General features: G+C 54.0%; 1 long non-coding RNA gene across 4 annotated transcripts in view, besides 5 other annotated features; it reads left to right on the top strand.

Moving 5' to 3' along the window:
* LOC105371908 (uncharacterized) overlaps positions 1-3,739 on the top strand; it is a 42,983-nt gene extending 39,244 nt beyond the window's left edge. For 2 of the 4 annotated variants that reach the window (XR_935001.2, XR_935000.2), the window contains 2 exons: positions 2,127-2,302; positions 2,609-3,739. This is a non-coding gene — a long non-coding RNA (uncharacterized LOC105371908). Of the gene's footprint in view, positions 1-247; positions 331-2,126; positions 2,303-2,608 lie in introns of all 4 variants that reach the window. The other 2 variants (XR_934999.2, XR_934998.2) reach the window with 2 other exon arrangements.
* Positions 1,738-2,238: an enhancer, noted in NCBI's record as "H3K4me1 hESC enhancer chr17:75795239-75795739 (GRCh37/hg19 assembly coordinates)". NCBI's record gives its function as "activates a minimal SCP1, AML or CMV promoter by ChIP-STARR-seq in primed H9 embryonic stem cells {active_cell/tissue: H9 hESC(primed)}" and the evidence as "EXISTENCE:reporter gene assay evidence [ECO:0000049][PMID:30033119]".
* Positions 2,239-2,739: an enhancer, noted in NCBI's record as "H3K4me1 hESC enhancer chr17:75794738-75795238 (GRCh37/hg19 assembly coordinates)". NCBI's record gives its function as "activates a minimal SCP1, AML or CMV promoter by ChIP-STARR-seq in primed H9 embryonic stem cells {active_cell/tissue: H9 hESC(primed)}" and the evidence as "EXISTENCE:reporter gene assay evidence [ECO:0000049][PMID:30033119]".
* Positions 4,017-4,516: an enhancer, noted in NCBI's record as "H3K4me1 hESC enhancer chr17:75792961-75793460 (GRCh37/hg19 assembly coordinates)". NCBI's record gives its function as "activates a minimal SCP1, AML or CMV promoter by ChIP-STARR-seq in naive H9 embryonic stem cells {active_cell/tissue: H9 hESC(naive)}" and the evidence as "EXISTENCE:reporter gene assay evidence [ECO:0000049][PMID:30033119]".
* Positions 10,164-10,974: an enhancer, noted in NCBI's record as "H3K27ac-H3K4me1 hESC enhancer chr17:75786503-75787313 (GRCh37/hg19 assembly coordinates)". NCBI's record gives its function as "activates a minimal SCP1, AML or CMV promoter by ChIP-STARR-seq in primed H9 embryonic stem cells {active_cell/tissue: H9 hESC(primed)}" and the evidence as "EXISTENCE:reporter gene assay evidence [ECO:0000049][PMID:30033119]".
* Positions 25,982-26,182: a silencer, noted in NCBI's record as "peak3013 fragment used in MPRA reporter construct". NCBI's record gives its function as "represses an SCP1 promoter by STARR-seq MPRAs in K562 erythroleukemia cells {active_cell/tissue: K562}" and the evidence as "EXISTENCE:reporter gene assay evidence [ECO:0000049][PMID:32103011]".

Here is a 27,345-nt window from a genome sequence, read left to right as displayed (position 1 = left end):
TAAGACAAAAAAAACACAGCAATGCAACAACCAACCAGATACGACTGACCCCCCCGCGACATCCAGAATTTATGGTTTTTGCTATAAAGGTTAAAGCTGTGGGCAACTGTGGGGCAGAACCCCTCCCTCACCCCCCATTTTAAGGCCAGGTCCTCTTTCTCTGTCATTTTCTCTCCTCCCAGTGTTTTCTGGGTGGCAATCATCTCTTTATATCATCTTTCTTCCTGCGCCGTGGGGACTCACCAAGGACCTTACAGTTGTTGGCGTCATCTGGTCAGGAACTCTCTGCAGCTGAGAGTGGAGTGTGACTCGGTGGCCCTGCCACCGAAGGTGAGTGTCCAGCCCACGCGGTCCTTGAATGTCTCGGAGACAGCGCTGGGCTGGTGACAGTCATAAATCACCGCTCCACGCGCCTCACTGAAAGACCATATGGACCTTCTTGTCAGGCTGGGACACGCTTAAATTATGACATTTTTCATTTTGATTGACAATTACCTTCCCCTGGAAGTTTGCGAACAGCCCGGCTACAATTACATCTCATACCATAAAATGAGGGGAGTAGAAAGGGAGTCATTATTTTCTGAATATGGTCTCTGGCAGTTGGCTAAGGAGGTAATCTTTATTCCCACTGCTCCTGCGTTTTATTATTTTATTAAGAGTTAACTCTCGATTATCCACATGTGAGCCCAAGAGACAATCGTATTCCCACAGCTGTTAGGCCTTATTATTTTATTGTTATTGGTTCAGATTTTCCCCAGGCTCTATGTGGGACATGAAAAAGAGTCCCGATTGCTCACATGTTTCTTAACTGCCCCTTTTGAATTATTTGCAGTAAATGTTTATAATCTCAATACCGCTCCTCCCTTCTCCTGGGGTAGAGGATGGGTGGCTATTTTTTTTATGACAAAATATGCATTACCTAAAATGTATCATTTTAACCGTTTGAAAGTGATACTTCAGTAGCAATTAGTACATTCACAGTGCTGGGCAACTGCCATTCCTAATTCCAAAACATTTTCATCACCCCAAAAGGAAACTTGTGCCCATTAAGCAATTACACCTCATTTCTTTTTCCCACCACCCCCCACCCCCCGCCCCGCCCCACCTCCGCAGCCCTAGGCAACCACCAATCTGCTTTCTGTCTGTGGATTTGCCTATTCTGGACGTTTCATATGAATGGAATCGGCAGTAGGAGGCCTTTTGTGTCTGGCTTCTTTCACTGAGCATGGTGTCTTCAGAATTTACCCATGTTATAGCATGTATCAGTATTTCATTCCTTTTTGGTTTTTTTGAGATGGAGTCTCACTGTGTCGCTCAGGCTGAAGTCTAAACCTCCAGAGTAGCTTGGATTACAGGCACGTGCCACCATGCCCAGCTAACTTTCGTAGTTTTAACAGAGACGGGGTTTCACCATGTTGGCCAGGCTGGTCTGGAACTCCTGACCTCAAGTGATCCGCCCGCCTTGGCCTCCCAAAGTGCTGGGATTACAGGAGTTGCCGCTGTGCTGGGCTGCTTTATGACTTTTTATGGCTGAAATTGCGTTTGCTCGTATTATGACTACACCACATTTTGTTTGTCCGTCCATCAGTTGATGGACATTTGGGTTGTTTGGTGCTGCTACACACATCTGTGGACAAGTTTTTGTTTGAACCCCTGTCTTCATTCTGGGGGGGTATATTTCTTGTTTGTTTGTTATTTTATTTTATTTATTTTTGACACAGAGCCTCACTCTGTCCCCAGGCTGGAGTGCAGTGCTTGATCTTGGCTCACTGCAACCTCCGTCCCCCAGGTTCAAGCAATTCTCCTGCCTCAGCCTCCCAAGTAGCTGGGATTACAGGCACCTGCCACCGCACCTGGCTAATTTTTGTATTTTTAGTAGAGATGGGGTTTCACCATCTTGCCCAGGCTGGTCTTGAACTCCTGACCTCGTGATCCACCCGCCTTGGCCTCCCACAGTGCTGGGATTACAGGCATGAGCCACCGCGCCCGGCCTTTGCGGGGTATATTTCTAGGAGTGAAATTGCTGGATCTTACGGCAAGTCTATGTTTAACTTATTGGGGAACAACCAAATGATTTTCCATTTTACAATTTGGTTGGCTACACGACTTTCCATTCCTACCGGCAGCGTGTGAAGAATCCAACCTCTCCCGTCACCAGCACTTGCCAGATCTTCGCTCAGTCAACTCTTCGGATCTTTGCTGGGAGACCACAGGGTTTTCAACGTCAGCCTCCGGCCACCTCCTCGATTTTGCCTGAGGCACTGGTTGGAGCCTTCCCCTGTGTGGCTCTCCACGGGGTCAGGTGATGGAGGGGGATGTGTTCACAGCAGGAGTGTTGCTAATCCCTCTAACCTGGGACCCCGGGTCCTGTGGGGAACCCATTGACAATGGCTCAACTGGGAGAGTTGCCAGGCTGGAGGCCTTTTGACAGAGTCATGAGGGTTTGGGCCTTGGAGTTGGAGTCTCCTGTTGGCCATGAAGAGCTGCATGGCCTTGGCCAAATCGCAGCTGACCTTTCCTCTCCTCTCTATGAAATGGTGTAGCAGACCCTGCTAGTACCCCCACCCCAATGCCTCATGTCCCATTGATCTTCACCTCTGTTATTTAGAACACCTGGGACTCAGTCCGTGAAGCAGGATCCCACCAGGTGGAGGTGCAGGAGACAGTACTGATGAGTGAGTACCTGGGAGCAACCCTCAGCCAGGTGTGCGCAGGCCATTGGTGCACCACCGTAGCTTGTGCTGTCTGCCGGAGCTCCCAAGCGGGATGGAGCGCCTGGCGATCATGGTGATAATTGTATGAATAAGGCATTTTTATTGGTTGCCTTCCTGTCCTCATCTCCTGTCCCCACTCCTGGATTCCTCTCCCAATTCAATGACTTGCAGTCAACTCCTCGTCTCAAAGTCTGCCTTCTGGGGAGCCCAGCTGTGGGCTGCACAGATGAGAAAATCCACCCAAATGGACTCCATGGCCAGGAAGTGAGTGAGCCCTTGATGGATAGCCAAGGTCCTTGTCTCTGTTAGAGTGGATTGTGGCAAAATTGGTGGTTATCAGTCTGTTTTGAGGGGCCCATCTCCCCACAAGGAGAAGTGAGCTAGAAGCAAAGACAGAGACCGCTTCATTTTAGGACAGTTTCCTTCCTCTATCCACAGCTCAGCATCAGATAGAAGCCTGGGGCGTTTATCTGTTGAGCATGGGACGCAGCTTGGACAGTGGTTTGCTTTCCTCTCTGAAATGCACTTTTCCAAGGCCAAATCGCAGATAAGCAGCTTCCCCCTGGAGTACCCCTGTTTTATGCGGGGTAGGGAGGGCCGTGGGTGCGATTATGCTGGTCTGGAAGCACACATTGACTTTAGATAGTCCACACAGTGCATGCTCAGTGGAAAATCGAGAGGTGTTGTGCATCTTGAGTCACCACCCTCTCTCACCACAGGGTCAATCATGAGGGGAGGAAGGGGAGGCAGAGGGAGGAATGGAACCTGATGCTGTCGGTGAACCTGAACATGGACAGAGTGTGGGGGGCTCAGTGGAGTCCACAGAAGCCCCCTCCCAGAATAAGGAGGCTGCTGGCCGGAGCTGAGTGCAGGGAGGGAGGCATCTTATCAGCTCCCGGACCACACTTGCCGTCCTTCCCTCTGGAGGCACCACCCATTTGCTGTGTGCCAGTAGCAGCATCATTGAGACCAGATTAAAAATGTCTGTGCCCTTTAAAGGTGGGATGTTTTATTTTTTTATTTGATTTTTTTTTTTGAGATGGAGTCTCACTCTGTCACCTGGGCTGGAGTGCTGTGGCGTGATCTCGGCTCACTGCAACCTCCACCTCCCGGGCTCAAGTGATTCTCCTGCCTTAGCCTCCTGAGTAGCTGGGATTACAGGAATGGGTCACCACACCCGGCTAATTTTTGTATTTTTAGTAGAGATGGGGTTTCACCACGTTGGTTAGCCTGGTCTCAAACTCCTGATCTCAAATGATCTGCCTGCCTTGGCCTCCCAAGGTGGGAGCCACAGCTCCAGGCCCAAAGGTGGGATATTTTAAACTTGGGCTAGTTTACCATCGGCTCAAGAAAGAAGTTAGGTAATCAAAGCGGTAAATGGTTCTCTGTCTACCCAATTTTAATTTCCAGTACTGGCTTTTTTTTTTTTTCAAGAGTGAGGAGGGCTCAAAAGTACAGGGGGAGGAGATGGAAAAAGAATGGAGGGGCAGGGTCAAGGAATTGATCAACGGCATAAAACGACCTGCCGTCCCTGAGCTCCCCCTCTTTGGCTCCAGCTGGCAGGAGCTCAAGACTGTTCACCAGTTACCCCAGGGCAAAATGAAAGAGGATCAAATTTCTGCTACAACCTACTCTATCCCCCCACCTAGTAAATCCATCATGTGTGGAAGAGCCTCGGGGCCCTGCCTCCCAGACCTCCATCTTCTCATGGTAGCTGCGTTTGCCTCGTCCCCAGTGAGATGGACACCCTGGGTCCCATCTGGACCCTCCCTCTGGTCCTCCAGCTGGCCCCTGCCCCGGCCCTGGCCCCTCCTCAGACTGGGTCAGGATCCATTCCTGGGCCTGGCCCATTTGCTGGTCATGTCCACTCATCACTTGCTGGCCCTTTATTCTCTGTGGATGAGTTTCCCCATTCCCAGCTGTCCCCAGCTGCCCCCAGCAGGCATGGGTGTGGAGTGTTTGCCAGGGTTGGGGCTAGCAATGGAAACCTCCCCTCTCCTCCCAGAATCCAAGGAGGAGGACCAAGATGCAGGCTGGGTCAGAAAGTGGGTGATGGATGACTCAGGCCTTGGCGGCCAGGGCAAGTGGGTGGGAAAACATCTAGGTTTTTGCCCATTCCGAGTGCTTCTCATTCTTTCCAGTTTCTGTGTGCCAAGTTGCACTGCCAGGGCACTTCAGAACCAAAGAATAAAGGGTTTAGGCTCACTGGGCTCCTGCCCCTCAACCCTCCAGGGTGCCCAAAGCTGCAGCGGTCCTGGGTGTATGCAGCTGCCTCTCCCGGGTCAGGGTGGCCTCCACCAGTCTCCCTTGCTGCCTGGGAATATGATGTTCAGGGCCGCAGGGCTGAATTCTCCCTGAGTGCTTTATATAAATACCCGCTTCAGGGCCGACACGTACTCCATCATAGGGACCCGTCAAATGAACCAGCCAAGCCCATAAATTATTGCAAAAACCATTCCAAACAATAAAGGCAATTTTACTTACTGAACCATTAAATGTACATACTTAAATTAGACCCAACAAGACATCGCGTGGGGATGTCTCAGGGCCAGGCAAACAATGAGTTTCGAGGAAGGGCTATCTTGTGTTTTCCCCACCTCTCACATGAAATTAATGAGGTGCTTCATATTTAATCATCATTACAATCATATCTTTATTTAGTTACTTAGCTGGGTTTGACCTGCTGCCTCGGGTAGCCTGGATGTCACCTCTCTGCCCTGGGCTGTCCTGACAGCCGGTGAGAGGTCAGCAGGAGGCTGGTGCACAGATGCCAGGCTGCTCCAGCCCAGTGAGGCAGGCTTGGTGGATGTCGCTTCTGCCTCTGGGATCTACTGAGGCCAGCCTGCAGTTTTCTCTGACCTGGAGATCAGAGCCCATATCCGGGAGACACACAATGGCAGCTCTTCCTTGCCCACCATGTTGACTCTGATGCCTGGTCTGGCCAGTTACATCTTTTAAATATTTCTTAGATATTTGTCTCTTTTCTCTTCCTAATACCAATGTCCTAGTTCAGGTCCCAAACTTTGTGCCTTTGGTGTTAATCCTCCTTCATGCCCTGATGCCGGAGCCATTTCTGGAAACTCTAAATCAAAGCCGCTCACCCAGCTCAGAGCCCTTTGGTGGCACCCTTTGCCTATTGGAGGGAGATCGAATCCTGAGTATGCCATTCAAGGCTCCTTCTGACCTTCCCCAGACCCCAGTGACTCTCCCGGCCTTGTCTCCTGCCGCTCCCTGCCTTAGCCTGTATAGTCCACCGTCACCTGCACTACAGACTGCCCACAGTTGACCCTCCCACATTCATCAGCACTTACTTCTACAATATCCTGCCTCTATGCCCCTCCCACTTCTCTTTTCCTGTGTACCTACAATTTGTCCTTTAAAACACCCAAGGTGCCAGTTTCTCCATGTCCGGCAGGTACATTTTCAAATCCTTAGGTTGGGCTAAATGCCCTTAGGAATCCCAAGACCCCCTTTGGTCTCTCATGATGGGTTTGGGATGATCACTTCACATGCTGGTCCAGGGGTTATGCGTTTGCTGTGAATCCTCAGCACCTAACACTGGATCTGGTGCACAGGGACTCTGCCAAACCGTCTGACGCCGCCAGGCTGGGATGCTGTTACTCTTCCTGTGTCTGCAATGGGTCCAGAGTGGCTGTGATGGAGAGATGCTCCCGTGTGGTCACTGGGGAGATTGGTGAGGGCTGCAGGGGGGACCAGCACTTCCCACATCCTTCCTCAGACAGTGGTGGAAATTGGGTTATATTTGCATGTGGCTTGGAGGCCACCCAGAAAGTGTCAGGACATCCCTGGGGTCAGCAGTAGCAGCCGCTTGGTGCAGGTTTAAGAAGTCCACCAGGACAGAGCCAAGCATCAAACTGCGGGGGAGGGGAGGTGGGGGAGGGAAGATTAGTGCATCATCTGGGTGGGCACTGCTGGTTGTCTGTGCCCACTGCCCGCTGCCTGCTCCCTATCCCCATTCCCTTCCAAAGGGGGACTCAGGACACCCCTTGCTCCCTCTGCCTGTCTCCAAAAGCATCACTAAATGTTGATTAATAAAGTGCGATGTGTCTTGGCTTTTCCTTGCCCCAGTGTCAGGCCTGGAAAACACAAACAGACCCCAAAAGGTGCCAGTTGCACAGGTGCTTGTGTGAGCACTCCTTCCCCGCAATGGGATTGGGAGCACCCTGCCCCCAGGGCATGGAAGGGCCTTCTCTTCTGTCCTTCCATCCACTTCTCCACTCCCAGGGTGGGTCTCTGCATGGGTGTGTGGCCTGAGCTTCTGACAGAGGTAAGATGCAAGCCACGTCGGCAATTTTAAACTTTCTAGTGGCCACAAGAAATAAGTCAAAAAGAAAAGGTAAAGTTAAGTTTAATAATACATATGATCTAACCCAGTATCTCCAAAACATTATCATTTCAACATCTAATCAGTGTGAAAATTATGAATGAGGTAGTTTGTGCTTTTTATATCAAGCTTTTGAAATCCTGTGTGTGTTCTGCACACCCAGTGCCTCTCGACACAGACCAGACTCATTTTCTCGTGCTTGGGACCCACAGGCGTCTGGGGGCTCTCTGACTGGGGCTGTGCAGGTATTAACTGGCTGACCCTGGAAAATGCCTTTTTGGAAGTAAAAATCCTGAATTCTATCACTTCCCTCCAATCAGGCCGGCGCCCAGCATCAGCCATTCCCCTACTGAGCAATGCCCAGCTCTGCAGCCGGGAGAGGGAGGGAGAGGGGCGGCATAGCCTCCAGCATCTGAGATGCAGTTCGTGGGCACTAAATATGCAGGCTCAGCAGAGGCATCCAAAATGAGTTATTTATCAGCTCCAAGGACACAAAGACACCTTAAAATAAGGAGCCCGTGGCCACTCCTGTGAAGGTGCTGAGAAGCCAGGCTCTTTTGCAGGAGCCCCCGGGGGCCACCCAGCCCAGGAAGCCATCGGCGGTGCAGATCCTAATGAAGTCAAGGTTCACACACAGCCCTTGGCCCGCCAGGAATCTAACGTGGGGCTCTAGGATTTTCTAGGCAGCCCCTACAGTCACTCATATGCAGCATGATTAATGGCTGGATACCCCGGCGTGAAAACCATTTAAAAAATGGCATTTTTGTCACGGACAGTGTTCCACATATCGTAAAGGTCATACGTGCTAAGAGCATTATCCGTATTTCTTGGGCAAACATGCTTAACCTTGTAGAGCACATTCCCCGGCAGATCAGCGATCCGTCTCCCGCACTTCAGAGGACCCGATGGCGCGGGTTCTTTGCCAAAAGGGATGAAAGACGGCGGCAATGGCACCACGCAGGGGTTTCAGACAATGCCGCGAATTGGCTGCCGGCCTCTCACGGCGTCGGGGGGCAGAGGGCACGAGGCCCCACAGCCTGTGAAAGGCTGCCGGGATAAGAGACTTCTTCTGAACATCCGCGTGGCTCTCGCCAGCTTTGATTTCCTCTGGAGGGCTTTGGGGCATCAGGCTGGGGTCGGGAGGGAGGAAGAGCGCTCATCTCAAGCCCCGGCGGCCCAGGCTGGCACTGGGTCTCTGATACACGGAGGCTGCGAGGGAATTCAGAAGCGGCTTCTGTGTGCCTGATAAAGACAGTTCAAATGAAAACCGTGGATGTGAGGATAACCAAGGGCAGATGACTGCAGCTGGTCTACCTGTCCAGCGTGGAAGCCTGTACTTTGGAATGCCTTGCTTTGGAGGCTGGGGCAAATGTCTCCAAAATAAGATCACCCCGGGTCTTGGCAACTCACAGCACGAGTGAGCAGCCACGGACCCGGGAGAATGACCTCACACTCACTGAGACCTGGGTAAGGAGCTCCAGGCTTCTACCTGGCAGGCCGTGAGAGTGGGTGGGGGGCTTTGTTCATGACTTCTCGGTGGCATCCTCCCCACTCCCCACCCCAGGGCCACTTATCCCCCCCACATCGCGGCTGTCAGTGCATGGTGTCAGGACAGCCTCCTCACGGGTCCCCTGCCTCCTAGCTTGTGGCCTCCTGTCTCTTCCCCACCTTATCACCAGTGTCCAAAACCCAAATCCAATGACAGATCCCTTTGTGCTTTCTTTTCTTTTCTTTTTTTTCAGACAGAGTCTCACTCTGTCACCCAGGCTGGAGTGCAGTGGCGTGATCTCGGCCCACTGCAACCTCTGCCTCCCGGGTTCAAGCAATTCTCCTGTCTCAGCCTCCCGAGTAGCTGGGATTACAGGTGCACACCACCACGCCCAGCTAATTTTTTGTATTTTTTTCTTTTTTTTTTATTATTATACTTTAAGTTTTAGGGTACATGTGCACAATGTGCCGGTTAGTTACATATGTATACGTGTGCCATGCTGGTGTGCTGCACCCATTAACTCGTCATTTAGCATTAGGTATATCTCCTAATGCTATCCCTACCCCCTCCCCCCACCCCACAACAGTCCCCAGAGTGTGATGTTCCCCTTCCTGTGTCCATGTGTTCTCATTGTTCAATTCCTATCTATGAGTGAGAACATGCGGTATTTGGTTTTTTTGGCCTTGCAATAGTTTACTGAGAATGATGATTTCCAATTTCATCCATGTCCCTACAAAGGACATGAACTCATCATTTTTTATGGCTGCAATTTTTTGTATTTTTAGTAGAGACGGGGTTTCACCATCTTGGCCAGACTGGTCTCAAACTCCTGGCCTCAGGTGATCAGCCCGCCTTGGCCTCCCAAAGTGCTAGGATTACAGGCGTGAGCCACTGCACCCAGCCTGTGCTTTCAATCCTAGCGAAAGCCATATCCCCTTCACCCAGGATGAAGTCCACACACTGAATGCAGCTTTCAGGCCACGGCGTGCTGGTGAGTGTTGGACAGCCAGCTTCCTGAAAAACAAACGTGTAGACGTTGAGTATGCGTTTTACTGATACGCAGGACGAGTGGCCCCAATTTACAAATAATAATAAGATATATAATATTCCTTAATGTAAATTCCATACAGCCAGTTACACAGAATGCTTTCACAGGTTTTTGCTGAACTCTTGTGACTGTAGCCAGCCTATGGCTGCAATTCAAGTGTAATTTGACTATCTTTTTTGTGATATTCACCATGTAAGGGCAGTGAACCTGTTTTAGTTGAATCTGTGTTATTAACATTTTCTCCATCACATTCATAAGTCTAGACAATCAACAAAACTATACAAATCAAGCACTGATTTGTATAGTTTACCAATGTCTGTGTTGTAGCTATTCCTATTGCAGCCAATTTCTTTTTTTCTTTCGCTCTTTTTTTTTTTTTTTTTTTTTGAGACAGAGTCTGGCTGTGTTGCCCAGGCTGGAGTGTAGTGGCATGATCTCGGCTCACTGCAACCTCTGCCTCCCGGGTTCAAGCGATTCTCCTCCCTCAGCCTCCCGAATAGCTGGGATTACAGGTGCCCACCACCATGCCCGGCTAATTTTTTGTATTTTTAGTAGAGACGGGGTTTCGCCGTGTTTGCCCGGATGGTCTCAATCTCCTGACCTCGTGATCTGCTCGCCTCAGCCTCCCAAAGTGCTGGGATAACAGGCGTGAGCCACTGTGCCCAGCCATATTGCAGCCAATTTCAAACCAACGACATGACATCTCTGAACCCATGGTGGGAAAGAGATGTAGCCCTCATTTCATAATAGTTCCACCATGCGAATACAAGAAATGTCACTCGCCTCCAGAATACAGCTAATAACCAAATAGAGCAAAATCATTAGGAGGAAAGGACTTTGGGGTTTTTATTACCATTGTTTCAAGTAAAATTTATTTGATCGTAAGTTGATATAAATTAATGTTTTAAATGGCCCAGTTTAATAGCCAGTTCATCACATTTCCGGAAATTGAGTAATGAGATCTCTTGGGCAGGTGGGAGCTGGCTTCAGCACACTGTGGCCTCGGCACCTGTAGGCTGCCTGTGCCCACCCCACACCTTCACCTGGGCCTGCCCCCTCCTTGCTCTGGCTGGCCTGCATTTCCCTGAGCTCTCCTTGCCTTTGGAGCCTTTGTACATCCTGTTTCCTATGCCCGGAATTCTCCTCCCCTCGTCTCCTTTGCCCAGCCACCTGTCTCCTCTTCCCTCCCCTTCCCTTCCTTTCTCTTTTCACTGCTGGAGACTTCCTTCCAGCCTGGAGCCTGCAGTTTAAATGACTCACGTTGTTTTACCTCCAGTTGCAGCAAGCACCATGGCCTGGTATTTGTGCTTCTCTACATTTGCCCCCTGATTCCTACCACCTTCATGCAGCAGCCAAGGTGCTGGCCGGGTGGAGACAAAGGGGTCAGCAGAGTGGGCTGGGAGCCTCCCCACTCTGGCCCCATGAGGCTTGCCCTGAGGTGCCACCTTGCACTGCAAGGACTGGAGAGCGGGTTGGACAAGAAATGGCATTGGAATGGCCCTGGGGCTCCTGCAGCTTTTTGCACGTCAGGAACGTGGCTCAGAGGAGAGTAACCAGAGGCCAATGGATTAGGAAAAAGGCACTATGACGAAGCCCACAGAAACTAGGGTTTCCACTTCCTCCTTCTAGATTGGAAAAGCATCACAATGCTTGGAAGATGCAAATGTGGGGATGGAAAGAGAAATGCTTCCTAATGAGAAAGTGCAGCGCATACTTCATTACTGCGGTGAGAGAAAGGAGGTAGGGGATTGACGGCTTCCTTCCTCCATTCATTCAGCATACCCTGAGTTCCACCGCTGGGCACTGAGAAGGACACCAGTGTGGACCGGCTGTGCTTCCCATCCAGAAGGACCATCGGCCCTCTCTTCCCACATCTCCAAGGAAGGGAGATGGGAGAAATCAACCTGGAATGTGAAGGACAAGGAAAACTGCATTTTCAGTTCCAACTTTTGATTTAGAAGTTAATTATGTGGGCCAGGCACAGTGGCTCACACCTGTAACCTCAGCACTTTGGGAAGCTGAGGCTGGTAGATCACCTGAGGTCAGGAGTTTGAGACCAGCCTGACCAATATGGTGACACCCCATCTCTACCAAAAATACAAAAATTAGCCAGGTGCGGTGGCATGCTACTGTAGTCCCAGCTACTTGGGAGGCTGAGACAGGAGAATTGCTTGAACCCGGGAGGCAGAGGTTGCAGTGAGCCGAGATTGAGCCACTGCACTCCAGCCTGGGCAACAACAGAGTAAGACTCCATCTCAAAAAAAAAAAAAAAAAAAAGAAAAGGAAGTTAATTATGTGAATTACCCTCTGTCAACTCGATGTTCCAGATTGAAATGCTGAGTGAGGCCTCACCTCACTGAAGGCCCAGATAAGATGAGGCCTGCCTGCGAATCAGGAACATGTGTCCAGGGAAAGGGTTACCTGAGCAAAGGAGCTCCCGAAAGATTCACCACGGTGTTCACGGGCTCTGCAGAGGGAAGAAGGTGCCCAGTTGTCTTGCTTCCACTGGGCACCAGGTAAGATCAGCTTAAGCAGAAGCACAGGGAAGTAGACCAGGAAGGAAGGAAGATTTTTGTTTGTTTGTTTGTTGTTGTTATTGTTGTTTTTTTAAGACAGGGTCTTACTCTGTTACCCAGGCTGGAGTGCAGTGGCATGATGATAGCTCACCGCAGCCTTGAACTCCTGGGCTCCAGCGATCCTCCCACTTCAACACCCTGGGACTACAGGTGCATGCACCACCATGCCCAGCTATTCTTTTTTTTTTAATTTTTAGTAGACATGGGGTCATGTTATGTTGCCCAGGCTGGAAGGAAGGTTTTATAGCAAAGCCTCAGTGTGGGTGCTTGAGAGAAGCCGCGGAGACCTCTCAGGCTGCCATTACAAAGGAGAAGAGAAGGGTTCCTCCCTTTCAGCCTGGGAGACCTGTTTCTGAGGCAGAGATGGGTGTGGGGGTGCTCAGCTCATGACATAGTCTCTTATTTGGGGCTCCACGCCTTGTGTCGTCTGTGAATGGTCACGACAGGGCTCTGTTTCCACCTGGGTAGTTGGGTATCAACAAGGGTGCAGATCTGAACAGAAGACACAGGTTGGACACAGAAGGCTGTGACCCACATGAATGAGTCATGTGAGTGGGGCCTCTTCCCAGCTGGCCTCGACGGTCCCATCCCATCGACGCAGAGCTCCCCCAGCCTCCTCCCCACATCCACGTGGTCATTCTGGACATCTCCTCCCTCTCCCTTCTGCCTGACATGCAGGCAGTCAGGATTTCTCTCCCGGGGAGTCCAGCATCTGTCATTTCCCGTTTGGATCCATGCCTACCCTCTTGGCCTGGGGGTAGGAGACTGTCCACCCCACCTGGATGGGACAGTGGCATCCTCTCCAGCCACCGACACTGACCGTGCCTCTTCCATACAGTCTTCTCTCCTTTCCCGACTCCCTCTTTTTTTTTTTTTTGAGACAGACTCTCACTCTGAGGCTGGAGTGCAATGGCGCGATCTCAGCTCACTGCAACCTCCGTTTCCCAGGTTCAAGGATTCTCCTGCCTCAGCCTCCAGAGTAGCTGGGACTACAGGTGCGTGCCACCACACCCAGCTAATTTTTGTATTTTTAGTAGAGAAGGGGTTTCACCATGTTTGCCAGGCTGGTCTTGAACTCCTGACTTCAAGTGATCCTCCTGCCTCGGCCTCCCAAAGTGCTGGGATTACAGGCATGAGCCACCGCACCAGAACCCTGATTCCCTCTTGCTCGATCCATGGCCCAGCCCCTGAAACCTGCTACGACCTTCAGCCACCAGCTTCCTCAGGCCCATCTCCTGTGGCTCCTTCCTTCACTCCTCTGCACTCTGCTGCGAGGTCCCTGAGCACCCGCTCCTTTTCTTGCCTTTGTGGCTTTATCCCACAGTGCCTACCTAAGCACTCTTTCTGTTCTTCTGACCTATGTCCACCCACTATGACCAACTTCTTTTCATCCTCAAACCCAGCTCTGCAGTCACCTGGTTCATGAAGTCTCTGATGACCCACCCACCCCAGGACGAGAGAGGCCCTCTCTCTTCTGTGTGCCCTTTGAGCCAGGCACGGGCTTCACCACCTAGAAGGCATCCAATACCTCATGGGCGTGACATTCTTGGTGATGGGTGCTGTCTTGTTCTGATCTCTGCACTGCACCACCGGGCCCAGCACACAGAAGGCAGCATGAAATGCAGGTTAAACACACCCAACCAGACCCTTTGGGTGCAAGGACCTTGCCTTTCTCACCTTTGCACCTTCTGAACAAAGCAGCAGGTCCAGTCGCTGACATTTGCTGAATGAATGGATGCTGGATGCGCGAAGACCTGGGCGAGGAGCGTATGAACGGGCGTGTGTGTGTGGACGCGGGGAAGGGCAGGAGGCAGGCTGCAGCGGTCAGCACAGGGGCGGTGTGGGCGGGGAAGTGCTTGCTTGCTTGCTTGCAAACACACATGTCACGCTCGGGTTGAGCATCCCTCATAATGGCCTTATTTTGGCTTCTCTAAATTGATTCCTGATGTGCTCAAGTGTGGCCCTGGCATCTTTGGGGGTTGGAAATTCCGGATGCTGCAGTAATTGTTCTTGCTAATTACCAGGAAGCATCAAATAAGAGGAGCTTGTTTTCTCTTCCTGGCTGGATTTTGTTATGCTAATTAGACTTGTGTAAGCTGTTGCTCTTGAACCTGGAGAGTTAGAAAAACATTTGCATTAATACCTGGGAAGCTGCTGCAGAAGCCAGTTATTATTTTAATGATGGCCATTGAAGAGTGCTCCTGTTTGGGGGCTGAGTTCAGGTGTGTGCATGTGTGCGTGTGAGTGTGCATGCATGTGAGTGTGCCTGGGTGTGAGTGTGCATACGTGCATGTGCGTGGTGTTCTAATGGCCTGTCCCGTGCTATGCACTTGCTTGCTTGGTGAGACGGCAAGTCTCATTGCCTCTGCAGCACAGACCCTCATTCATCCCTCATCCCCTCCTGGGTAGCCAGGAGCCAAGATATGAAGGCAAGAGGGGTAATGAGCTCTTAAATTCTGGTCTTCGCTTTTCAAGTCAATACCAATGTTAATTAAACATCAACCACCCAGATTTCCAGTCTGGAAGGCAAGGAGGGAAGCCACCTCTCTCTGGAGTTCTCAGGGACTAATGGAGGCTCTCCTGGCCTTGTCTTCCGGCCACCTGGCTCAGTCCCTGCCCTTCCCTCCTCAAAACCGCAGGTGCTTCCCACAACTTCTTGGCCACCTTCAGCCCACAGTGGTTCCCTGTGTGAAGGGAGATGTGGGTGGAAACACTTTTGGAAAGACATTGGCAGCAAGGGGAGTGGGTAGGGTCCTGATGCTTTTTGCACAGACCCTTGAGGGAACTGTGAAAGGAAAATAAATCTTGGGGCCTCAAAATCACTGAACTAAAGGGAAAGTCAGGCTGGGAACTGCTTAGGGCAAACCTGCTTCCCGTTCTATTCAAAGTCCCCCCTTTGCTCTCTGAGATACATGCATTGCCTCCTTTGGAGAGGCTCATCAGAAACTCAAAAGAATGCTACCATTTGTCTCCTCTCTACCTATGAGCGGAAGCCCTCTCCCTGCTTCCAGTTGTCCTGCCTTTCCGGGACAGAACCAATGTTCATCTTACATATGTTGATTGATGTCTCTTGTCTCCCTAAAGTGTATAAAACCGAGCTGTGCCCTGACCACCTTGGGCACATGTCATCAGGACCTCCTGAGGCTGTGTCATGGGCGCACGTCCTCAACCTTGGCAAAATAAACTTCCTAAATTAACTGAGACTGTCTCAGATATTTTGGGTTCACAGAACCACAGGCCGCCTGGCCCTGTGCTGCCCACCTGCACCCGCTGGGCCTTCAGCTGATGAGAGGAGTGTGAGGGCCAGGGTGGCTTCACCTGCTGGGAACCTTGCTCGGCCAGCTTCTCTCCCCTGGCCCAGGGACAGGTCCTCGAGTCCCTGGCACAGTGACTCTCATTCTCTGGCTGAATACCTCCTTCTTCCCTCCCCTTGACACCCCCACACGCACCCCACATGCCCAGCGGCAGCTTCTGTTGCAGAGAGCCCGGCGAAGGGAGCTCACGGAAGCTCCAGGAGCCTGAGAGCCTTAGGAGGCCCTGGGTGTCAACGTTGCCTGATTTTCTCATTTCATCTCTTATAAGCTTTCAGGACGCTAACATGATTAAGTTCTTCACACAATTTATTAGCATCATGTTGGAAATCCAGTAGTATATTATACTGTCTGAGTAATCCAATTAGCAAAATGTATTTATTTAACAGGAATATCAGCCGCATGCGATCCCACACCATGTCCCTGCCCAGCCTTCTCTACTCCTGATGCATGTCCCCCATGGAAAGGATGTTCTGTGCACGCAGGAGGCAATGAGGGAGGGTGAGGCAGCCCAGAACCCATGGTGTGGGGTGGGGAGAGAGTGGTGTGGGTGGCCGGGTCACCCCCTAGAGCTGGGATCGAGTGAGCCACGCTGAGTTGCAGGTGTTCAGTTCTGAAGCAGGATGTTCCTGTGGGAAGGGTGAGTCCACACAGCACTAGGTCTAAATTCTGGCTTTGCCCTGGCTTCTCACTCTGTGAATCCTGGGCAGGCTCTTGAAAGTTTCTGCACCCAATTTCCTTAATATCTGTGAAATGGAGACAAAATCCCCTCCTTGCAAGCCAGGCCAGTTCTGAGGATGGGGGTTGGGGGACGGATGAGACTTTTCTCTGCCCGTCTGGTCCTGTAAGCCCCCTCACTTCAAGATATCCCACCTTTTGAGGCCAAACCAATGTATAATGTTCATGTACTGATTAACGATTTTGCCTGAAACTTCTGCTTTCCTGAAATATACTCCCGCCTTTGAAAACCCTTGCTTGTGGCCGGGTGTGGTGGCTCATGCCTGTAATCCCAGCACTCTGGGAAGCCCAGGTGGGCGGATCAACTGAGGTCAGGAGTTTGAGATCAGCCTGGCCAACAAGGCCAAACCCCAACTCTATAAAAAATACAAAAATTAGCTAGGCATGGTGGTGCATGCCTGTAGTCTGAGCTACTTAGGAGGCTGAGGCAGGAGAATTGCTTTAACCCAAGAGGCAGAAGTTGCAGTGCACCGTGATCTCACCACTGAACTCCAGCCTGGGTGACAGAGTGAGACACAACAAGAAAAGAAACCACCAACAAGAAAAAACAAAACCGTTGCTCGTGAGCCATTGAGGATGTTGGGTCTTAAGTGTGAGCTGCCTGATTCTCCTTGCTTGGCACCTGGCAAATAAACGCCCTCCTTTCTCCTGCTGCAAACCTCAGTGTGGGTATTTGGCTTTACCAACCTGGGTGAGTGGAGCCAGTTTTGTTTTGGTAACAGACCCTCCTAGCTGTTCCTAGCTCCTCCATCTGCTTGGAGATGGTGCCTGGGCTCTGGATGGGGCTCCCCATCCTTGGCATAGCGCTGGGTGCTCAGAGCAAAGATCAGCCAAAAGGAGTCCACGCCTCTGCTGTTCAGTGCAAGGGCGATGACAGTGTAAACAAGAGCAGTGCCCTGACACCTGAGGAGCTGAATGAGGATGCTCGGCTGCTCGCGGGTGGCTGGGAAATCACCTCCTTGAGAAGGTGTGGAGAGGCGGAAGACACTGCGTTCTCACTTCTAACCAGCTGCCTCTCGAGAGGCACCACCGCTGTGGCAGCACCGTTGAGCCCTCCCTTGCCATGGTCACCAGCATCCGTCCGGGCACCCGGAGGCCCCTGATGAAGGCAGGTGTGGTGGGGGCTGCGCGTGTCCATCACTGCCTCATCCTGCCTGCCCACCCCCAAACTGGGTGCCAGAGTCCTTCTCGTGCTGATTTCACTCATCACAGTTGTGGTCCTGCCAGGTGGGCACCCTCAGCCATTCTCCCTGGACCATCACCATCAAGGCTGTGGCTGCAGGAACCTGGGCCTACCTAGGCTGGGGGGGGTCCCCTCCCCAACTTCCAGCCAGTCCCCAGCCACCATGTCCAGGAAACATTAGGCTGTCTTTCTCACTCCTTGTACTTGATTCTTTCATTTGCACAGTGGGCAGGGAGCAAGACCCTTGCTTCCTACTCTAGAAATTCTTAGCAAGAACGACTGCTGTCCGGAAGTTTTTCTTTTTTTTTAATTTTTTTGTTTTTTTGTTTTTTTGTTTGAGACAGAGTCTCCTTCTGTTGCCCAGGCTGGAGTGCAATGGTGCAATCTTGGCTCACCGTAACCTCCGCCTCCCTGGTTCAAGCGATTCTCCTGCCTCAGCCACCTGAGTAGTTGGGATTACAGGCACCCATTATCATGCCTGGCTTATTTTTGTATTTTTTTAAAGATGGGGTTTCAACATGTCGGCCAGGCTGGTCTTGAACTCCTGACCTCAGGTGATCCTCCTGTCTTGGTCTCCCAAAGTGCTGGGATTATAGCCGTGAGCCACTGCACCTGGATCTGAAATTCTTAGTACTTTATTAACAAGGTCTCCCCTTGTCATGTGCACTGGGCTCCACAGATTAGGTAGCCCGTCCTGCATCCAACTTCTAATGACCCCAAGCAAGCAGGTATTAGCACCCTGTTTTACAGACAGGAAACCCAGGGGCAGAGCTAGGGAGCTGCCCAAGATGACTGGGCAATGAGGGCCTCTGACCTGAGCCTGCCTTATCCCTGGGGAGATCCCCTTTCTCCCTTTGTTTCATTCTCTGGGGGGCAGAGAATGGAGGCCAGAGGTTAACGCTGTCATGTGCCAGCCCTTCTTTCAGAGTGGAAATTGAAAGGGACCTGGCAAAGTGACAAGAACCCCAGCTATGTGAGTGCATGGTGGGGGATCTGCCGTCTCCCCCAGCCCTGTGGGTCTTTCTCCCTTTTGAGGTGCGGGGAGCCAGTGTGGCCCAGGGAGGGAGCGTGGCAATGCCTGGGGGCTGTTCTGGAGCCAGCAGGAACAGTGGACTTTGGGAGGAAAACAAAGGGGTCCCCACTCCTCCGGCTGGCAGGCTCCAGGCACCCCCTACCTGTGACGGTCAGGCCCTGTCCACTGCGCTGTGGTGAACGCCCCCTCCGAGGTCCCTTCTCTCCAGACTCGGGGCCCTGGAGTCGGGGCAGACACCTCGGGTTCCTCCTTCTCTTCTCCCAGTGGAACTCTTAGTCCCCCTTGTATAACTGAGATGTCTCCACCACGCACCCCGCCACCCCCTACTAATAGCTGCAATGTTGCGCCTTCCACATTAATGACAGGTGTGCAGGGACAAGGCTGCCTGCCTGCCAGTGGGTTCCCTGACATCACACCTGCTCGCCGGAGAAGCACACCCTGAGGCAACTGAAATCCTAATAGGTCCCTCTAACTGCCTCCTGCATCAATCCTGACACCAGGCGCTTTCTTCTTCTTCCCCACGGCTCGCCTTATTACTCTGTCATTGTCATTGATTTTGACTAAAAGAGAAAAAAACCCACTCATGCTATGACTGTTCCAAGTTAGCGAGGCAGAGAGCTCTGTGGAGCGTCGGCTGGGGGCAAGGAGCCAGGGCTTGGGTGGCATCAGTCCATGCAGGGTGTGCCTCGTGGGTCCCCTGGGGGCCAGGAGGGAGGTCAGCAAGCGGGGATGAGGGAGACTGGAAGGCTGATGGCAGGTGAGACCCCTGGGGGGGCCGTCTGTTCCGCTCCTTCCCTCCCTCCCCCTGCGCTAGGAAGCATCTGCCAGGCACTAGGGGGTCAGGGGAGGTGGGTGGAGGGTCCAGTTGCAAAATGCTTTCTGTGGCAGGGCCAGAACCAAACAACAATAAAAGAGAGGCTGTGCCCCCTTCCCTGTTCCCTACCCCAGCACAGGTAGCCGGAGGCCTGAGCCACACCCACCTGGCTGGATTTGAGAGTTCTGCAGGACCCTGGACGTTGAAGGGGTTGGTGGTGAGCAACGGGGGGTGTGAGCAGCTCGGGGTGCTCTCTGAGACCCCTGCCAAGCAAAGGCTCGCTCTCCAAGAAGTGGGGAGCAAGCGTCCTCTCCTCCTACCGGGACCCACCACCAAGGTCTTTCTAACTCTGAGGAGGAGAGAGGAGGGGAAAGAAAGGGCGAAGAGAAAAGGGGAATGAAGGCGAGGGCCCAGAATGGGAAGGGAAGGGAGGGAGAGAAGGAGTGGAGAGGGCCTGCTGGAGTGAGGGGCACTTACTGGAGTGGGGGGGGGCCTGCTGGAATAGGGGGAGGCCTGCTGGAGTGGGGGGGGCCTGCTGGAGTGGGGGGGCCTGCTGGAGTGGGGGGGCCTGCTGGAGTAGGGGGGCCTGCTGGAGTGGGGGGGGCCTGCTGGAGTGGGGGGGCCTGCTGGAGTGGGGAGGGCCTGCTGGATTGGGGGGGCCTGCTGGAGTGGGGAGGGCCTGCTGGAGTGGGGGGGACTGCTGGAGTAGGGGGGGCCTGCTGGAGTGGGGGGGGCTGCTGGAGTGGGGAGGGCCTGCTGGAGTGGGGAGGGCCTGCTGGAGTGGGGGGGGCCTGTTGTAGTGAGGGGCACCTACTGGAGTAGGGGGGGCCTGCTGGAGTGGTGGGGGCTGCTGGAGTCGGGGGGGGGCACTGCTGGAGTTGGGAGGGCCTGCTGGAGTGGGGGGGCCTGCTGGAGTGGGGAGGGCCTGCTGGAGTGGTGGGGGCTGCTGGAGTCGGGGGGGCACTGCTGGAGTTGGAGGGGCAGGAGTGGCCATTCTCTTACTTCTCCCTCCACTGTGTTTTCTTTGCCCCCTGCTACTGCCAGGCCAAGCACCTTTCTCCCAGGATTATAATTCGCGTGGAGTGAACCCCCTTTCTATTTTCAAGGTGTCCAGCTCTTGCAGGGCACTGCACCTTAGGTGGATCACCCAAGAGTCTGCTGAGTACCCCCGCACAAGTCCGGAGAGACACACAGAAGCGGGGCGTTGTCCTCAGGGACTCGAGACTCACAGACGAAGATTGGAAACCCACCAAGCCCTCTGTGAAATCTGGGCCACCAGCACCCTGCTCCTGTGGGGTGAGAGTTGTATCATGGGGACAAGGATGGTGCCCTGTAAATGCTGACCCACCGATGGGGACACTGGGGATCGGGCAGTTTGGGGACAAAGGCAGACCCAGGGGAGTGGCTACTTGGAGATTAGGAAGAGAAGTGTGGGTGGGAGGCTGCCTCCTGTGGCCCAGGGTATCCTGTCAGTGTGCTGTTTGACCCAAGCCATGTGGTGGGGTCCCCAAGAAGCAGCAAGTTCAGGGGATGCTGTTCTCATGCAATTATATTCCTCTCAATAGCAGCTTTCAGGAAACACAAGGCCAGAGGCACTTTAATTGGAATGGCTTTATAACACTTTTCACATCAGATCAAACCCTGTGATGACCAATGCATTCCACTGTTTGGTTTGAAAAGCACGTTAACAGAGGGGTGCAGGGCTGGATTCACTGGAGATGTACAGAACTGCCCCAGTGCAGCTCGGATGGTTCTGCAGGCCCAGGGTGAAGGAATGAATTGGCTTCCTCATGTGTTTTAAATCCATCACTGGTTGCAGCAAATCAATCCCCCAGAATACTAGCGTCCTTGGTGGAGTGATAAGATCAGGTTCTGGAATGCACTCTAGGCTCTGGCTCAAGATGGCCCTCACCCCACAGAGGCGTGGCGCCAAGGCCTCAGCACCCCCACCGTCTGGGGCAAGCAGCGGTGCCTGCCTTTGCCTTCCGGGAGGAAAGTTCTTCATCCAGATCTGTGGCCCCAGGATCCACCTTCCCAGGCTGCTGCAAGTTCTGCCTTGGCTCCATGCCAGAGAGTGTCACTGTGCCTGGGACATGGGGACCTGTCCCGGGGCTGGGGGAGAGGAGCGAGCAGAGGAAGGCTCCTGGCAGGCGAAGCCATGCTGGCCTCACTCCAGACCTCACATCCTCTCATCAGCTGAAGATGCACCAGTGCAGGCGGGCAGCACAGGGCCAGGCGGCCCATAGTTCCCTTAAGCGGGAGGGGTGGGAAATCGGGACAAGCTCCCTGAGAGCCAAGACCTCCAACTGCGGTGGGTCAGCCACACGGTGCCCGGGAAAGCAGGCGGTGGCCTCCCTGTTTCCCCCGAACCACAGCCGCTGACTCCACATGACGGGGCCATCTATGGGGCTTCTCTCAAGACCTTGCCCCAGGCGGATCCCCCTCATCTGCAGGCAGGGCCCCAAGCCCAGACCCCCAGGAAGGGGCCACCCTAACTGCCCTCCTCTAAAACCACAGCCTTGTTTTCCAGCAACCCCTGCCCCCTTCTAAAGGAATCCTTCCTCTCCCCTTGAAGTGCCTGCGGACAGATTAAAGCCTCCTTCTCTGTTCCAGATTTTTCTCCCAGAGGAGCTGAATTTCAGCCGAATACCCATGGGCAGTTAGGGTGGCCTCTAACAGCTCTCAGGGAGCCAGTCCCGATTTCACACCCCTCCCGCTGTGGGCACTGGTAAGGAGGCATCTCACTGGTCCACTGGCAATCCCGTGGGGAGCCGGCTCTTCTTGCGGGATTTGCTGAACCCAGGCTGGCAGAGCTCAGGCTGGCAAATCCCTGCATTGCAAAGCCAGGGCACTGAAAGGAGGCAGGGAGGGGCTGCTTCCGGGACCCAGAGTCTTGGCAGCTGTTGCTGGGCAAGAATCCACCCCTGCCGCTGCCATTGGTCCTTCTGCCTCTTCCTGGCAGAGCAAGAGTGATGCCCACACCCAGGGGTCTGGTCCGTTTCATCACCCAGGCTGCCTAAGGAGGCCATGCCCACTGGCTTAGGCAGCCTCTTGGGGTCCAGCGCCATCCCGGCCAGGGCCACAAAGACAGACACAGAGGAAGCAGCCACAGCTGCTTGGCCATGGCCCCCATGCCAGGGCTCCTGGGCACAGCTGCTCTGTGATTCTCCTGCCTGCTGCTTGCCCGGCTCCCTTGCCTTCTTTCTCCCCAGGGCCTCACCCTTTCCCAGTGCCTGTTGCTGCTGGATGGGCAGGCGGGCGTCCAACTCCTGCTCTCCTGCTGTCCTGTCTCCTGGGGTGCAGTGCTGGGCAGCCTCATGCAGCCAGGGTCTGTCTCGGGCTGTAGGGCACTGGGCACCCTTCGGGCACATTGGCCTCAGGCTCCCCAAGGGCAGGCCCCACCTGGCTTGTTCATCTGCACCTAGAGCAGCACTTGGCACACAGTAGGATCGAATAGATTAGTGATCTGAGGGACTGTGGCACCCACTCCTCCCCACAGCAGGAACTGGCCTGTTTGCACCCTTCCTGCGGGAATGGAAGCCTGACTTCTGGGAAGCCCTGGAACCCTGGAAGAGGAAGGGGCAGATCCTGGGGTGAACAGGCTGTGCGGTACAGCAGCAAACAGCAGAGAGGCTGGGGGTGGGGTGAGGGTGAGTGGCAGGGAAGTGAGGGCAGACCCTGCAGAATTCCAGAAAGGCCAGATCAGCAGTGACCCCTGTTTATCAGGGGTCCCCCTCCAACCAGGAACTGGGACCAAACCGTCAGAGTGTCTGCAAGAGTCATCAGGGCCAGAGGCAGTGTGGTGTCATGGTTAGAGCACGAGCTTTGCAAGGGACGTACACCTGGGTCCACGTCGCCGTGTGACCTCGGGGAAATCTCTCAACTCCTCTGTGTCTGTGAAACAGAAACAACAACAATAACAACTCTCACAGAGTTACTATGAGGATTTGATGCGATGATGCAGGAGAAATGCTTAAAATAGTGTCTGGCACGTGGTAAACTTTTAATCAGTTTTAGTTAAAAGTTGCAGTGGTGATAATTATAGCAAAGGTTTGGAGGGGTGGAAAAGCTTCAGAAAACGAGAGGCCTGGGTGTTCCATGTTGCTGTGTGAACTTGAGGCACGTGTGTGTCCCTCTGGTCTCTGCCAGTTAGGGAGGGAGGAGCCGGGGATGGACGCCGTGGAGCACTGACTTTGTCCTGAGATTTGTGGGGTTGAATGATGAGATGCTTTAGGCTCATGGTACGGTTCTCTGAGTCCAATTGCATTTCATCCTTGTGCCACCTCTGGGCAGTCAACTGGCCAGTGACTATGACCATCATGTTTCTGGTAAGGAAATCCAAGGCCCAGCGAGGGAAGTGAAATGGCCACACCGCACCTTTCTGGCCAACGAGGGCAGAACCCACATTGCTAACTTCTGCCCTGAGTTCCTGGGGCCTTCACGGTCTGCTGGGCTTATGAGGTTGTTTGTTGATTGGTTGTTTTTTTTTTTATTTTTTTTTTTATTGATCATTCTTGGGTGTTTCTCGCAGAGGGGGATTTGGCAGGGTCATAGGACAATAGTGGAGGGAAGGTCAGCAGATAAACAAGTGAACAAAGGTCTCTGGTTTTCCTAGGCAGAGGACCCTGCGGCCTTCCGCAGTGTTTGTGTCCCTGGGAACTTGAGATTAGGGAGTGGTGATGACTCTTAACGAGCATGCTGCCTTCAAGCATCTGTTTAACAAAGCACATCTTGCACCGCCCTTAATCCATTTAACCCTGAGTGGACACAGCACATGTTTCAGAGAGCACAGGGTTGGGGATAAGGTCACAGATCAACAGGATCCCAAGGCAGAAGAATTTTTCTTAGTACAGAACAAAATGAAAAGTCTCCCATGTCTACTTCTATCCACACAGACCCGGCAACCATCTGATTTCTCAATTTTTTCCCCACCCTTCCCGCCTTTCTATTCCACAAAACCGCCATTGTCATCATGGCCCATCCCCAATGAGCCGCTGGGCACACCTCCCAGACGGGGTCGTGGCCGGGCAGAGGGGCTCCTCACTTCCCAGTAGGGGCGGCCGGGCAGAAGCGCCCCTCACCTCCCGGATGGGGCGGCTGGCCGGGCGGGGGGCTGACCCCCCCACCATCCTCCCGGACGGGGCGGCTGGCCAGGCAGAGGGGCTCCTCACTTCCCAGTAGGGGCGGCCGGGCAGAGGCGCCCCTCACCTCCCGGACGGGGCGGCTGGCCAGGCAGGGGGCTGATCCCCCCACCTCCCTCCCGGACGGGGCGGCTGGCCGGGCAGGGGGCTGACCCCCCCTCCCCCCTCCCGGACGGGGCGGCTGGCCGGGCGGGGGGCTGACCCCCCCACCTCCCTCCCGGACGGGGCGGCTGGCCAGGCGGGGGGCTGACCCCCCCACCTCCCTCCCGGGCGGGGCGGCTGGCCGGGCAGAGGGGCTCCTCACTTCCCAGTAGGGGCGGCCGGGCAGAGGCGCCCCTCACCTCCCGGACTGGGCGGCTGGCCGGGCGGGGGGCTGACCCCCCCACCTCCCTCCTGGACGGGGCGGCTGGCCGGGCAGAGGGGCTCCTCACTTCCCAGTAGGGGCGGCCGGGCAGAGGCGCCCCTCACCTCCCGGACGGGGCGGCTGGCCGGGCGGGGGGCTGACCCCCCACCTCCCTCCCGGACGGGGCGGCTGCCGGACGGAGACGCTCCTCACTTCCCAGACGGGGTGGTTGCCGGACGGAGGGGCTCCTCACTTCTCAGACGGGGCGGTTGCCAGGCAGAGGGTTTCCTCACTTCTCAGACGGGGTGGCCGGGCAGAGACGCTCCTCACCTCCCAGACAGGGTTGCGGCCCAGCAGAGGCGCTCCTCACATCCCAGACGGGGCGGCGGGGCAGAGGTGCTCCCCACATCTCAGACGATGGGCGGCCGGGCAGAGACGCTCCTCACTTCCTAGATGGGATGGCGGCCGGGCAGAGACGCTCCTCACTTTCCAGACTGGGCAGCCAGGCAGAGAGGCTCCTCATATCCCAGACGATGGGGGGCCAGGCAGAGACGCTCCTCACTTCCCAGACGGGGTGGCGGCCGGGCAGAGGCTGCAATCTCGGCTCTTTGGGAGGCCAAGGCAGGCGGCTGGGAGGTGGTTGTTGCGAGCCGAGATCACGCCACTGCACTCCAGCCTGGGCACCATTGAGCACTGAGTGAACGAGACTCCGTCTGCAATCCCGGCACCTCGGGAGGCCGAGGCTGGCGGATCACTCGCGGTTAGGAGCTGGAGACCAGCCCGGCCAACACAGCGAAACCCCGTCTCCACCAAAAAAAAAAACGAAAACCAGTCAGGCGTGGCGGCGCGCGCCTGCAATCGCAGGCACTCGGCAGGCCGAGGCAGGAGAATCAGGCAGGGAGGTTGCAGTGAGCCGAGATGGCAGCAGTACCGTCCAGCTTTGGCTCGGCATCAGAGGGAGACCGTGGAGGGAGAGGGAAGGGGAGGGGGAGGGGGAGGGGGAGGGGGAGAGGGAGAGGGAGAGGGAGAGGGAGAGGGTTGTTTTTTTTTTTTAATCAATGGCCATGAACAGTGTTGGAAACCCAGACAATGAGTAGTTCTGGGGGCAAAGCCCTACCCTAGGGAAGGGACTGTCCTGGAGTTTAAAGAGGAATGTTCTGGAATCTGCTGTTAGGAACACATGATGGTCACATATTGGGGCCTGATGCCTGAGACCTTACAAAGTACTTTCACAGACCTTATGGCTTTGGCGCCTCTCAGCCCGTGTGCTTTTCATCCCGTGTATTAGTGAGGGTTCCCTAGAGGGACAGAGCCAATAGGATAGATAGATAGATATAAAGGGGAATTTATTAAATATTCACTGACACAATCACAAAGTCCCACAATGGGCTGTCTGCAAGTTTGAAGAACAAGGAAAACCAGTCTGAGTCTCAAAACTGAAGAACTTGGAGTCTGATGTTCACGGACAGGAAGCATCCAGCACGGGAGAAAGATGTAGACTGGGAGGCTAGGCCGGTCTCGCTTTTTCACGTTTTTCTGCCTGCTTTATATTCGCTGGAAGCTGATGAGATGGCGCCCACCAGATTGAGGGTGGGTCTGCCTTTTGCAGCCCACTGACTCAAATGTTAATCTCTTTTGGCAACACCCTGCCAGACACACCCAGGACTAATACTTTGCATCCTTCAGTCCAATCAAGCTGACACTCAGTATCAACCATCACATCCCACTTGGCAAACAGTCTCAGCAACAGCAAGGTTGTAAAGTCAGGACTTGAACCCAGATCTTCAGGTTCTGAGCCCAAAGGCACCCTCTCTGAGGGCACTAGAAGTGTCCTATGACCTGACTAGGTGCCCAGGGTCATCGAACTTTTGCTCCTCTGGAGAGAAACCTGAGGCAGAAGCCACGTCCTGTTTTCCAGGGAAACCTCATCGTTGACCTGTCACAGCCCAGGGCCTGCTGGGAAAATCTCTCTCAGGTACAGACCACCCCCCGACGTTGTTCTAAAAAGGGAGCTATCTACCGGAGGAATATTCCCCAGGAATAATTGCTAAAAGGCCTAATTTTGGAGATAACCGCGATTATAAATGTCTCATTACTTTAATTAAAGTCTCATCCATCACGGATGCTCTGTTCCCTGAAGCACAAGGGGCTAATGCGGCGGCAGCCACTGTGAGAGGCCGAGCGTGTATTCACACAGCAGCCTCCTCCCAGCCTCCTGGGTCAGATGCTGGCAGCCCTGCCATCCCACCCACCAATGCCCCATTTCCTCCTCCATGGCCCAGATACCGCATGCCCTTTCAAACACTCTTCTCTGTTCCAACTGCTCAACTGTGATGTCCCCCGTCCCAGAGCGGGAGATTCGGCAAAAGCTGGCATTTGTCAAGCCAGAATGCAACGGGGCCCGTCAGAAGCAGAGGACGCCCAACAGCTGGTGTCTCGGGAAAAAGGTGGCAGGGCCCCAAACAGGATTTGTGTATCGGGGCTGTGTCTGCCACCCTGGGGGTTATCATGCCCAACCTCAGTGGATTGAACTCACTGTGTGCAAGGCCCTTGATGTATGGTGTCCTGTTCAGTCCCACGACAGCTCTGTGAGGTTGTGCAGTTGACTCT

This window comes from Homo sapiens, chromosome 17, assembly GCF_000001405.40.
Source record: "Homo sapiens chromosome 17, GRCh38.p14 Primary Assembly".
NCBI lineage: Eukaryota > Metazoa > Chordata > Mammalia > Primates > Hominidae > Homo > Homo sapiens.
The sequence above is the reverse complement of the archived record's forward strand: the minus strand, read 5'-3'. Positions and strand labels throughout refer to the sequence as shown.